General features: G+C 42.0%; 1 long non-coding RNA gene across 2 annotated transcripts in view; it reads left to right on the forward strand.

The window, feature by feature from the left end:
- Window positions 1–13,146, forward strand: part of LOC105370512 (uncharacterized) — a 42,851-nt gene that overhangs the window by 11,287 nt on the left and 18,418 nt on the right. The window contains exon 2 of one of the 2 annotated variants that reach the window (XR_007064183.1): window positions 6,526–6,658. The exons of the other annotated variant lie outside the window; for it this stretch is intronic. This is a non-coding gene — a long non-coding RNA (uncharacterized LOC105370512). The remainder of the gene's footprint in view (window positions 1–6,525; window positions 6,659–13,146) is intronic. 2 annotated transcript variants of the gene reach the window in all.

The raw sequence follows: 13,146 nt of genomic DNA on the forward strand, positions 1-13,146 counted from the left end.
TTCCTCTTTTCCTAATCGAATACCCTTTATTTCCTTCTCCTGCCTGATTGCCCTGGCCAGAACTTCCAACACTATGTTGAATAGGAGTGGTGAGAGAGGGCATCCCTGTCTTGTGCCAGTTTTCAAAGGGAGTGCTTCCAGTTTTTGCCCATTCAGTATGATATTGGCTGTGGGTTTGTCATAGATAGCTCTTATTATTTTGAAATACATCCCATCAATACCTAATTTATTGAGAGTTTTTAGCATGAAGGGTTGTTGAATTTTTTCAAAGGTCTTTTCTGCATCTATTGAGATAATCATGTGGTTTTTGTCTTTGGTTCTGTTTATATGCTGGATTACATTTATTGATTTGCATATGTTGAACCAGCCTTGCATCCCAGGGATGAAGCCCACTTGATCATGGTGGATAAGCTTTTTGATGTGCTGCTGGATTCGGTTTGCCAGTATTTTATTGAGGATTTTTGCATCAAAGTTCATCAAGGATATTGGTCTAAAATTCTCTTTTTTGGTTGGGTCTCTGCCCGGCTTTGGTATCAGGATGATGGTGGCCTCATAAAATGGGTTAGAGAGGATTCCCTCTTTTTCTATTGATTGGAATAGTTTCAGAAGGAATGGTACCAGTTCCTCCTTGTACCTCTGGTAGAATTTGGTTGTGAATCCATCTGGTCCTCGACTCTTTTTGGTTGGTAAGCTATTGATTATTGCCACAATTTCAGCTCCTGTTATTGGTCTATTCAGAGATTCAACTTCTTCCTGGTTTAGTCTTGGGAGAGTGTATGTGTGGAGGAATTTATCCATTTCTTCTAGATTTTCTAGTTTATTTGCGTAGAGGTGTTTGTAGTATTCTCTGATGGTAGATTGTATTTCTGTGGGATCAGTGGTGATATCCCCTTTATCATTTTTTATTGCATCTATTTGATTCTTCTCTCTTTTTTTCTTTATTAGTCTTGCTAGCAGTTTATCAATTTTGTAGATCCTTTCAAAAAACCAGCTCCTGGATTCACTAATTTTTTGAAGGGTTTTTTGTGTCTCTATTTCCTTCAGTTCTGCTCTGATTTTAGTTATTTCTTGCCTTCTGCTAGCTTTTGAATGTGTTTGCTCTTGCTTTTCTAGTTCTTTTAATTGTGATGTTAGGGTGTCAATTTTGGATCTTTCCTGCTTTCTCTTGTGGGCATTTAGTGCTATAAATTTCCCTCCACACACTGCTTTGAATGCGTCCCAGAGATTCTGGTATGTTGTGTCTTTGTTCTCGTTGGTTTCAAAGAACATCTTTATTTCTGCCTTCATTTCGTTATGTACCCAGTAGTCATTCAGGAGCAGGTTGTTCAGTTTCCATGTAGTTGAGCGGTTTTGAGTGAGATTCTTAATCCTGAGTTCTAGTCTGATTGCACTGTGGTCTGAGAGATAGTTTGTTATAATTTCTGTTCTTTTACATTTGCTGAGGAGAGCTTTACTTCCAACTATGTGGTCAATTTTGGAATAGGTGTGGTGTGGTGCTGAAAAAAATGTATATTCTGTTGATTTGGGGTGGAGAGTTCTATAGATGTCTATTAGGTCCGCTTGGTGCAGAGCTGAGTTCAATTCCTGGGTATCCTTGTTGACTTTCTGTCTCGTTGATCTGTCTAATGTTGACAGTGGGGTGTTAAAGTCTCCCATTATTAATGTGTGGGAGTCTAAGTCTCTTTGTAGGTCACTCAGGACTTGCTTTATGAATCTGGATGCTCCTGTATTGGGTGCATATATATTTAGGATAGTTAGCTCTTCTTGTTGAATTGATCCCTTTACCATTATGTAATGGCCTTCTTTGTCTCTTTTGATCTTTGTTGGTTTAAAGTCTGTTTTATCAGAGACTAGGATTGCAACCCCTGCCTTTTTTTGTTTTCCATTTGCTTGGTAGATCTTCCTCCATCCCTTTATTTTGAGCCTATGTGTGTCTCTGCACGTGAGATGGGTTTCCTGAATACAGCACACTGATGGGTCTTGACTCTTTATCCAATTTGCCAGTCTGTGTCTTTTAATTGGAGCATTTAGTCCATTTACATTTAAAGTTAATATTGTTATGTGTGAATTTCATCCTGTCATTATGTTGTTAGCTGGTTATTTTGCTCGTCAGTTGATGCAGTTTCTTCCTAGTCTCGATGGTCTTTACATTTTGGCATGATTTTGCAGCGGCTGGTACCAGTTGTTCCTTTCCATGTTTAGTGCTTCCTTCAGGAGCTCTTTTTAGGGCAGGCCTGGTGGTGACAAAATCTCTCAGCATTTGCTTGTCTGTGAAGTATTTTATTTCTCCTTCACTTATGAAGCTTAGTTTGGCTGGATATGAAATTCTGGGTTGAAAATTCTTTTCTTTAAGAATGTTGAATATTGGCCCCCACTCTCTTCTGGCTTGTAGAGTTTCTGCCGAGAGATCAGCTGTTAGTCTGATGGGCTTCCCTTTGAGGGTAACCCGACCTTTCTCTCTGGCTGCCCTTAACATTTTTTCCTTCATTTCAACTTTGGTGAATCTGACAATTATGTGTCTTGGGGTTGCTCTTCTCGAGGAGTATCTTTGTGGTGTTCCTTGTATTTCCTGAATTTGAATGTTGGCCTGCCTTGCTAGATTGGGGAAGTTCTCCTGGATAATATCCTGCAGAGTGTTTTCCAACTTGGTTCCATTCTCCCCATCATTTTCAGGTACACCAATCAGTCGTAGATTTGGTCTTTTCACATAGTCCCATATTTCTTGGAGGCTTTGCTCATTTCTTTTTATTCTTTTTTCTCTAAACTTCCCTTCTCGGTTCATTTCATTCATTTCATCTTCCATCGCTGATACCCTTTCTTCCAGTTGATCGCATCAGCTCCTGAGGCTTCTGCATTCTTCATGTAGTTCTTGAGCCTTGGTTTTCAGCTCCACCAGCTCCTTTAAGCACTTCTCTGTATTGGTTATTCTAGTTATACATCCGTCTAAATTTTTTTCAAAGTTTTCAACTTCTTTGCCTTTGGTTTGAATGTCCTCCCATAGCTCAGAGTAATTTGATCATCTGAAGCCTTCTTCTCTCAACTCATCAAAGTCATTCTCCATCCAGCTTTGTTCCGTTGCTGGTGAGGAACTGCCTTCCTTTGGAGGAGGAGAGGCGCTCTGCTTTTTAGAGTTTCCAGATTTTCTGCTCTGTTTTTTCCCCATCTTTGTGGTTTTATCTACTTTTGGTCTTTGATGATGGTGATGTACAGATGGGTTTTTGGTGTGGATGTCCTTTCTGTTTGTTAGTTTTCCTTCTAACAGAGAGGACCCTCAGCTGCAGGTCTGTTGGAGTACCCGGCCGTGTGAGGTGTCAGTCTGCCCCTGCTGGGAGGTGCCTCCCAGTTAGGCTGCTCCGGGGTCAGGGGTCAGGGACCCACTTGAGGAGGCAGTCTGCCTGTTCTCAGATCTCCAGCTGCGTGCTGGGAGAACCACTGCTCTCTTCAAAGCTGTCAGACAGGGACATTTAAGTGTGCAGAGGTTACTGCTGTCTTTTTGTTTGTCTGTGCCCTGCCCCCAGAGGTGGAGCCTACAGAGGCAGGCAGGCCTCCTTGAGCTGTGGTGGGCTCCACCCAGTTCCAGCTTCCTGGCTGCTTTGTTTACCTAAGCAAGCCTGGGCAATGGCGGGCACCCCTCCCCCAGCCTCGCTGCCGCCTTGCAGTTTGATCTCAGACTACTGTGCTAGCAATCAGCGAGACTCCGTGGGCATAGGACCCTCCGAGCCAGGTGTGGGATATAATCTCCTGGTGTGCTGTTTTTTAAGCCCGTCGGAAAAGCGCAGTATTTGGTTGGGAGTGACCCGATTTTCCAGGTGCCTTCTGTCACCCCTTTCTTTGACTAGGAAAGGGAACTCACTGACCCCTCGCACTTCCCGAGTGAGGCAATGCCTCGCCCTGCTTCGGCTCGCGCACGGTGCGCGCACCCACTGACCTGCGCCCACTGTCTGGCACTCCCTAGTGAGATGAACCCGGTACCTCAGATGGAAATGCAGAAATCACCTGTCTTCTGTGTCACTCACGCTGGGAGCTGTAGACCAGAGCTGTTCCTATTCGGCCATCTTGGCTCCTCCCGAGATGGATTTTACTAATCATGTCTTACTAAACATAGTGGTTTTACTCTTCAAAATTATTCAGTCCCTATAGCTCAGACATAGGTAATCAGGCCAAAGTAAGTAACTTAAAAATGATTTAACAAAGAAAAATATATCTTTGTCCATGACTCCAAAGCAAGGAGTCAATATCGTTAACTCAAGGAGTTCATTGGAGCCACCAATAAATTGTTCACTTCTTGATATATGGTGTTAGGGTCTTCTCTAGATGTGGTTTGGGTAAGTCCCAGAGACCTGCCAACCTGGGCACATCTACACTGGCAATCTCTTTGGTTCCATCTCAGGCTATTGGAAAATCGAGGTCATTCTGCAAGGCATGGACTGTAAATTTCCAACTCCGAGTCTAAATGTGCACAGAGTGGTATGTGTATGTCTCCAGCCAGATTTCACTGCCACAGGAGGTGGGGGAATCAAAGGCAGGGGCTGGTCTTTAAAAGGCCTGGAGAAATTTATGACTCAATTTAAAACCACTTGTAGTTTATCGAAGCAAAGGAAATGGAATCGCGAGCTTCAGGGCAGGAGCAGATTTTCTTTAATAGTGAAAGAGGAGCCTGTCCTTTTATCTAGTCTTTCATGACAACAGAACCTTTCCCCAAATCTCACAGATTTGGCAACAAAGCAATGATTAAGTAAAATTTATAAATGTCAAGACTGCCTTTTTCATCCTTGACGAATTGGAGGGTCCAAGAGCCTCCTGGGATGGCTCAATGGCAACAGAACAGTAGAAATACACAGCATAGGGGTACCCAAAGCTTTGGGTTTGGTCTCAAACTTGACCATTTACCTATATAATCTTTGCCAAGCAACTAACTATTCTTTATGTAACAGATTGAGGGGAATGAAATAGAAGATCCCTCATCAAATGTTCATTAGTTATTTGATGGTGTACAGGAGTCCAGTTTGCAAGCCATATGAACAAGTACATTGAAGCACACTGGTAGATTTCTGTATGTATGACCTAGGCTCTGGGAGATAGATGTACCTGACCAGAATGGGTGCAATTAAGCGGTGTTTATAGCTGCTAGGAACAGAGACCTGACCAAAGTGGCTTAAACACACAGGATTTATTTCTTTCACATATTGTGAAGTCTGGAGGTAAATAGAGACTGGCCATGGCTCAACAGCACAAAGATATCACAACTGAGGTGTCTGTGATTTATTTGGACATTCCCTCATTGTTTCAAGATGGCTGCTGGAGCTCCAACAATTGCAATCTGAACTTCAGGCAACAGAAAGGGCAGCAGGGATAAAAAAAGGGCCTTATTGGAAGCCTCAATCAATGACTTTTGCTTCCATCACATCTGCCACCCTTAAATGTAAAGGAGGTCGGAAAATTTAAGGTTTTTCCCTGCGAGGCATGTTTTTGACTCCAGTAATGTAGAGAGAAGGGGAAGGTGGATATTGGGTTGGAAACTAGCAGTTTATTTCTCAATATACAACCAACGATTTAGTAGTGTGGGAAAATATGAATATAGCTGTGAGGGACATGTAAACTGAACTTGTGTGCAATTTGATCAAACTTTTCTATGTCTTTATGCACTCATGACTTACTCCTCTTCTCTCTCCTTAGATTATTTATCTAAAAAGCCCTTTTGTTCTCCTCAAGGTCAGGGGCCTTATTTGCTCACTGATTAGCAATGTACTTTGCCCATAGTAGGTCCTAAAAAAGACGCATTGAATTGTTTGATGCATGGGAACTGAATTGGATGCTTGGCAATAGAAATGTTTATATAAATACTTACTATATGAAACAATTACTGATATTCTCAACTGTTTTAGACTGAGAAAAAGGTTACCAGGGAGATGTGTCGTCTTAACACTTCTTCAAGACATATTATTCTGTGAGACACTGCTTGAATGAGGGAATAAAACTGAAGTTTCTTGCTTATCCTTCCACACCCATCTTAAGTGTCATGCATTCTTAAAACTTTCTTTTTTATGTAAAAAGAGAAGATTACTCTGCCAGCCAAACATGGTACCTACCATGCACCATGCAAGTCAAAGAGAAGAATCTATTGGTGATTTCTGATCCTGACTGCAAATCAGAATCACCAGAAGAACTGTTGTGAAATACAGATTCCCAGGGCTCTGCCCCAGCGATTCAGATCCAGAGTCTGTAATTTCATAAAGCACTCCAGATAATTAGGCTGTTCAGCCACACGTAGACATCTCTGGGGCAGAGTCCTCCCTTCTTTGTACCACGGCCATGGCTTCCCTTTGTAGCATTGATCACATGCTAGGTTAGCTTGCTCTCCTGTCTGCAACTCCACCAGACCCTGAAGGTGGGGCCATCTTCTCTCTTAGCATTCTCATCCACAGCCCAGTGTCTGAAGGCCTGATGCATAGTAGATTCTCTGTAATTATTTAAGATAATTCTGGTATTTAAGCAAATTGAAAGTACAATTATCCACCTCTACAGACTCCCAGGTGATGCTGAGAACACTAGCACAAAGAAGCTTGTCTTACCTACCAAGCAACTTGTCTTAACTTTGACCTCTGGGACAGAATATTCTATGGACGTGACCAAAAAGGAGTTTCTAACACACTGGGTGGTGAGTTACCTTGTGAAGCCTGAGCATCTTCAACAGTACTTAATTGTCACCAAATAATACCTCTACAAATGGTTGTGATGCTGGTTACCTGTGGTGGTTATTAGGTTTATGAAATAATACATGTAAAGTGCTTAGCATGGTACCAGGAGCAAAACGATTACTCAATAAATGTTAGTTGATAATGGTGATAATTACAACTATAATTACAAGAGAAAACTTTGCTTACTAAAAGAAACTTAGGACATATAGAAAAGCATAATGAAGAAACCAAAAATTTACCTTTAATTGTGCCAGGCAAATCAATAGCCTTGTATTAGTATAATTTTTTCCAGGTTTTTTCCAAGCATCTATACTAACACATATTTTAAAAATATACATAGGATATATTAAAAGTTCATATGATTTCTAAATATTTTAATATTTTACTTTAAATGTATTATTTATATTACATATAAGTTATATATTAAATATTTTAAATATAAACAATATGGTATCTTTTACTACGACATAATATAAATAATGTATATAACTAGGAATAAGTATACCCAATTTTGTATCAAGCAGCCGCATCCCTGGAGATGACTCTTTATGCCTTTCCCTGTTTCACTAGCTTCATCATTCTGGGGTCCTTTAGCCACTACCCTCTCTTCCACTGTCTAGAGAACCCTGCCCTTGCTCCACATAGGCCAGGCTGGGGTGGCAAGGCTGGACTGTTCTAATAGTGACAATAATGGGTGTGTGAGCAGGAGGCCTGAACAGCCTGGTCCTGCTTGTGGGGTCTGCTGAGCTCTGGTCACTTTATGTTGCCAATGAGGGGACTCTTTCACCTTCAAGCTGTGCTCATGTTCATTCACGGGCCTCCCTTCTGTGCCAATCAGAAAGATGACATGTGGCTGTCTCTCTTGGTTGCCACACGTTAAGCCTCAGCTCACAATGGGTACTTGGTCTGGAACTATCCTGGGCATTTGAAAGTGACATTGCTATTTCCTACAATCTAACACTTGTGAATAATTTCTAGCTGAAGGTAAAAATTTACATTTCAATGACCAGCAAGTTTTAGCACATTTAAGAAATTGGCCTGAGCCTTCCAGGCCTTATACACAGGTTTTGTTAATGAATTTGGCAGAGAGTAGTTGCATTCCTAGGCTAAGTATTAGAACAAAAAGGACCTGTTTTCCTACGTAATGAATTGCTGAGAAATTATTCAAAATTTGACTTAAAAAGCCTCTTGCCAGTGAGCTCAATTCTCTGAGCCATGAATTAGATAAAGGGCTTTTATAAACCCACAGAGGGAAACCCTCTGAGGATTTATGTGGGTGAGGAGAGAATGTCTGTTCAATGCTACCATCTCCTCCCAAGTGCTTGTGCATGATGCAGAGGCTCAGGGACCTTGCATACAAACGCCAAGGCTGACTGGAGCCACTGCAATGGTGGGCTCAGCAATGTTCATGCTGCACCCTGGCCCCAGACTCCCAGCTGCAGCTTCCACTGAAGTGTAGCAGAGTACTGCCTCTCCCCTGCCCCGGAGTCAGAGGCCACAGGGGAAAGAATGGTCAAGAGGACAGGGAAGGCCTCCTCCCCAGTCCCTAAAGACATTGTCCTTCCTAAAGGACAACATCTTCCTTAAAAAAACTCTTCCTAAATACTTTCCTAAAGATGTTGTCCTGGCCAGGCATGGTAGCTCACACCTGTAATTGCAGCACTCTGGGAGGCCGAGGCGGGAGGATTGCTTGAGCCCGGGAGTTCGAGACCAGCCTGGTCAACATGGTGAAACCCAGTTTCTACTAAAAATAAAACAACAACAAAAAAAGCCAGGTGTGGTGGCGCATGCCTGTAATCCCAGCTACTCAGGAGGCTGAGGTGGGAGGATCACTTGAAGCCAGGAGACAGAGGTTGCAGTCAGCCAAGATCTCACCACTGCAATCCAGCCTAGGTGACAGAGGAAGACCCTATAACCAAAAGAAAAAAAAAAAGACGTTCCTGTCTCCATCCTCAACACTAATTCAGATAAGATCTGAAGATCTGAACTTCTCATGACACCGAGGCTTTTAGCTCCTGAGTGTATATGAAAGAGTGTTTAAAGATGATTCCAGGCCAGGTGTAGTGGCTCATGCCTGTAATCCCAGCACTTTGGGAGGCTAAGGCGGGCAGATCATAAGGTCAGGAGATCGAGACTAGCCTGGCCAACATGGTGAAACCCTGTCTCTACTAAAAATACAAAAATTAGCTGGCCGTGGTGGTGCATGCCTATAGTCCCAGCTACTTGGGAAGCTGAGGCGGGAGAATCTCTTGAACCTGGGAGTCGAAGGTTGCAGTAAGCCAAGATCGCACCACTGCACTCCAGCCTGGGTGACAGAGCGAGACTCTGTCTCAAAAAAAAACAAAAAAACAAAAACAAAAAAACATGATTCCATGTAAATGAAGTCCCACACACTAGGAACAGAATTCCTTTCAGGAATAGAGCTCTAAGAATGAAGGATGTAGTGACCGACCAAGAAGGTATCAGACTGCAATGGGATTTCGTGATGTCCTTTAACCAAGATTTCCCTAAAAACAAGGGCACTCACAGTCACACAGAGCTGTTCAATGCGTTGACATTTTCTCCCTGCCTACATTTTCCCTGATAAGAGATAAAAAGTCTATTTCTTGCCTTGTTTAACTTTGATTACCTATCAGCCTACCTGCCTTCCCTGACCCAGGTGTATCTCCGATTCAACTATGCCTCATGCCCACTGTCCACTCCAACGGTGTATGCCCTTGGACTGCCAGCTTGGAGTTCTGGCCTGGCTCCCACTAACTACTTGGGCATGAGGACAACCTGGATATGACATCTGTCAGCCCAGTGATGGCCAAGATAGTCTGGTGAAACCTACTTTGTTTGATTTCCAAGAGGTTCCAAAAACTATTTAGCAATCCCATGGAAGCAATGAGTGATTTCCTCTCTAACCAGGGTTTACATGCTCTTTAAGAAGGAAATAAGCAAGGGGCAAGAGGGCTTTTTTTAACATCGGAGCCAGAAAGATACAATGGGTGAGCATGTCCAGAAGTATTGCACCAGACTCCCCCAGTATAAAAACTATAAAAGCACAAAATTCCCTTCATGGATAGTCACTGGGCCTGGAGATGTCATCATTCTAGGTGTGAAAAACCCCATGTTTCTACTTCCAAGAGCTGTCTTCTCAAAGTTCAAGAAAGCATAGACCGAGAGCTCACATTGTTTCCTAGGAGCTAGAAAACAGATTGATATTAACAAGCGTTTTGGTGGATCCTGGAAGTGTGGCCTGGAAGCTGGTTGGCTCAGTTGATTAGAACCCTGCAGCAAGTGGATTAAGTTTGCATCAGCAGATGGCCCAGCCAGCATTCTTCCCATTTGTGGATACATTCATTACCCCCCATTTTCTGTATGGTCACATTGGGACAGATGAATGAGTGTTTATGTCATTCTTCCTTTAATCCAGTACATCTGTACTGAGTACAATCGCCAGCACTGGAGTAGGTGCTTCAAAATATAAAAATAAGTGTAAGTTTTTAAAGTAGTTGAAGATTGCTTCAAATTCATCATTTTGTTTTTCCTCTTCATTCTAAGGCTCTTGAAGCTGAAATCTTAAACTGGAAATCTCAGCCCTAAGTTTTCCAGCCATTGTGTGCCAAGTTAGCAAGGTATTAGCAGTTATACACTCTCCAGTTGTTGGAATCTGGGATTTGTCTGGCAACTGCATGCCCTTGATCAAAGCCATGACCAACTGCCCAGTCATCATTGTGCTATTATTGCCTTTGTTTCTTGATTTGTACCTAAAGGTGCCTCCTGGACATGAAGTTTTTCTTTAAATACTAAACTACTTTTATGAGGTTTGGAGAGTTCGCCTAGCTTTTGCCAGTACCTATTCTTGAGGAATGAACACTGATCTCTCTGTAACCAGCACTACTGGGTGGAGTCCTAGACTACACTTGGGCCACCCCTTGACTCACATGCTGTCTTCTGCCTATGCCACTTCCACATCAGGAACACTTGGCTATTGATGCCATTTGGTCAGGGCTGAGCATAACATTTGCCATTTGGATGACTGGTGAACAGTCCCTCATGATCCACCTTCGGTCTTACCATGTCCTGGCTTCCTATCTCTAACTGACTCACACTGAGGTTTCTGCATAAATTGGAGCTGAAACTCTTAGGACATAAAAACTTATGCTAAGTGAATTCTACCATCCATTTTATGCTAGTTGTCAGTATTATTCCTTTCCCATATAGATAGAACCCAGTATTGTAATCTCTCAAAGCATTTCCTAAATCAGAGCTATTTCACTCTCTATGTCAGAATTCCTCAAAGCTTCCAAACCCAACCATCTCATCTGTTTAAAACAAAGAATTTTAAATCCCTCCATTTCTACATCGCTTTGGTCTTACCAAACATGCACCTCTAGGTTGAAAAGCCAGAACTTTAGAAGTTAGAAGAATGAGAAACTTATATAAATAACAGATACTGAATAATAAGTACTAGCTGTACTACAAATTAATTAGCAGTAAAATGTAATTAGCTGAAAAATACAGTAAGATGAAAAGGGTGCAACCGAGAAAGCATCCAAAGATGTTGCATTTGTCACATGCAACATCTTGTCACATGCAACATTTGTCACATGCAACAACAAATAATGTGACAGTAACACATTATTTGTCCTTCTGTTTTTTAAAGTTCTTGAATTGCCCATGGAAGATGCCTGTTGTCTTTTCTTTCTAAGTATGCTCTCTTCTGGTGATGATGAAATCACTCTTCTTTTTTTCTCATGCTCTGCTAATGTAGTACCCCTGGCTACAAGGGTGACATGTGGACCAGGCCTTGCTAATCAGAACACTCCATTCCCCCAGCCACATGATTAGTTCAAGGATGAACATGTGACTTAAGCCAGACAAATCAGGGGCAGCCTATTTTTGGGGTATTAATGTTAACATTAAGGACTATGGGAACTTTTGTTTGTTAGGAGCTATTTTGTTCACCATACATAGAAACCCTGCTATCATGGAGGAAAGCAAGGTCATAAGATGCAACAAAACATATTTCTGATGATGCCACCTGACCTAGCCAAGCTTGAAGTTCCGTCTCATGAACTATTCAGTGGCATGAACACTTTGTGCTTTCCTTACATTAGCATGAGTTAAATGTCTCTCATTTTAAATCAAAACATTCCTGACAACTATGGGTCTTCTCTTTAGGAATGATGAGGATTTAGTCAGGGACACAATGAAATTATGGGGGTAGAAAGTAGTGGGTGTTCCTGTACATACAAGGCAAGTAATATACAAGCCAAGCTCACAGCAGTTAACAGGGTTTAGCTTTTAAAAGTATTTCTTCTCTTTCAGAGGGAGATTGACATTTGAAAACAAAAGATGTATTTTACTCTAGAGGCCCAGATAGTTATGACATGAAACCACAGTTTTCAAATATTGCTGGCTGAAGTCATTGGAAATTGCTGCATGATCAAACAAACTTGAGGGAAATCCAACTGTTTTTCAAGCATTTAGAACTAAAGTACAATGAATCACATGACAAACCTCTCTGCCCTTCCACTTTGTCATGAAAATGCTAAGTGCTGAGACTTATCACATGAACGCATCATGATACATAATTTATTTTAGGACCAGGGTAATTTGCAGGCACTATCAATTGGCAGCATAGAACAGAAAAAAATGAGAGTAATAGTGGCTTGAACAGGACAGGAGATTGTGTCTATCTCAAATGAAAGAAGTGTGGAAGCAGCCAGAGAAGAGCTGCTCTGGCAGCCCTACTAAGTCATCAGAGACCCAGGTCCCTCCCAGCTCTCCCCTCTGCCCTCCCTGGGGCTCTGAGATGTCTTCTTGAACTCCAGCCTCATATTTTTGCTCTAGGCAGCTAGACAGATGTAGGGACCAAGAGCATGACCCTCCCTTTTTGGAAACTTCCCAGAAGTCACATGGAACTCTATGGCCAAACTTAGTTACATGGTCACTGCCAACTACTTTATGGCTTGGTGAAGGTAGTCTTTCAATTGGGTGGCAATGTGCCCAGGTAAAGAGCAGGGATCATATTACGTAGAAAAAGGACAGAATGGATGTTTAGGGGTAACTAGTAGTCTGTGTGTGTTGGGAGGGGTATGTAACAGGGTGGAAGCAAGAATTCAGGGATCCTGAATCTTTTGAGGCTAACAGATATCAGTGCTTCCTAAACTTCGTATGTTTGAGAGGAAGCTATCGAATTGTTCATCATGGTGAATACTTGGTCTCTTACTTCTTTGAAAAACTTTGTGTTCCAGCTTTCTCTGCTTTGTCTCTCGTAAAAATCAAGTTCCAAAAATGCACACAGTAGACATTTCCATTACCCACGGCTTTTTATTCATTGTATCAGCTAGGCTATTCACATGTTTGCTGATAGTGGCTGTAAGTCAAGATTTTAATAATAAAAATGAAATATGAATATGTTATTTTCTCTCTTACTATGCATATCTTCTAGTTCTTC

This window comes from Homo sapiens, chromosome 14 (assembly GCF_000001405.40).
Source record: "Homo sapiens chromosome 14, GRCh38.p14 Primary Assembly".
Classification (NCBI taxonomy): Eukaryota; Metazoa; Chordata; class Mammalia; order Primates; family Hominidae; genus Homo; species Homo sapiens.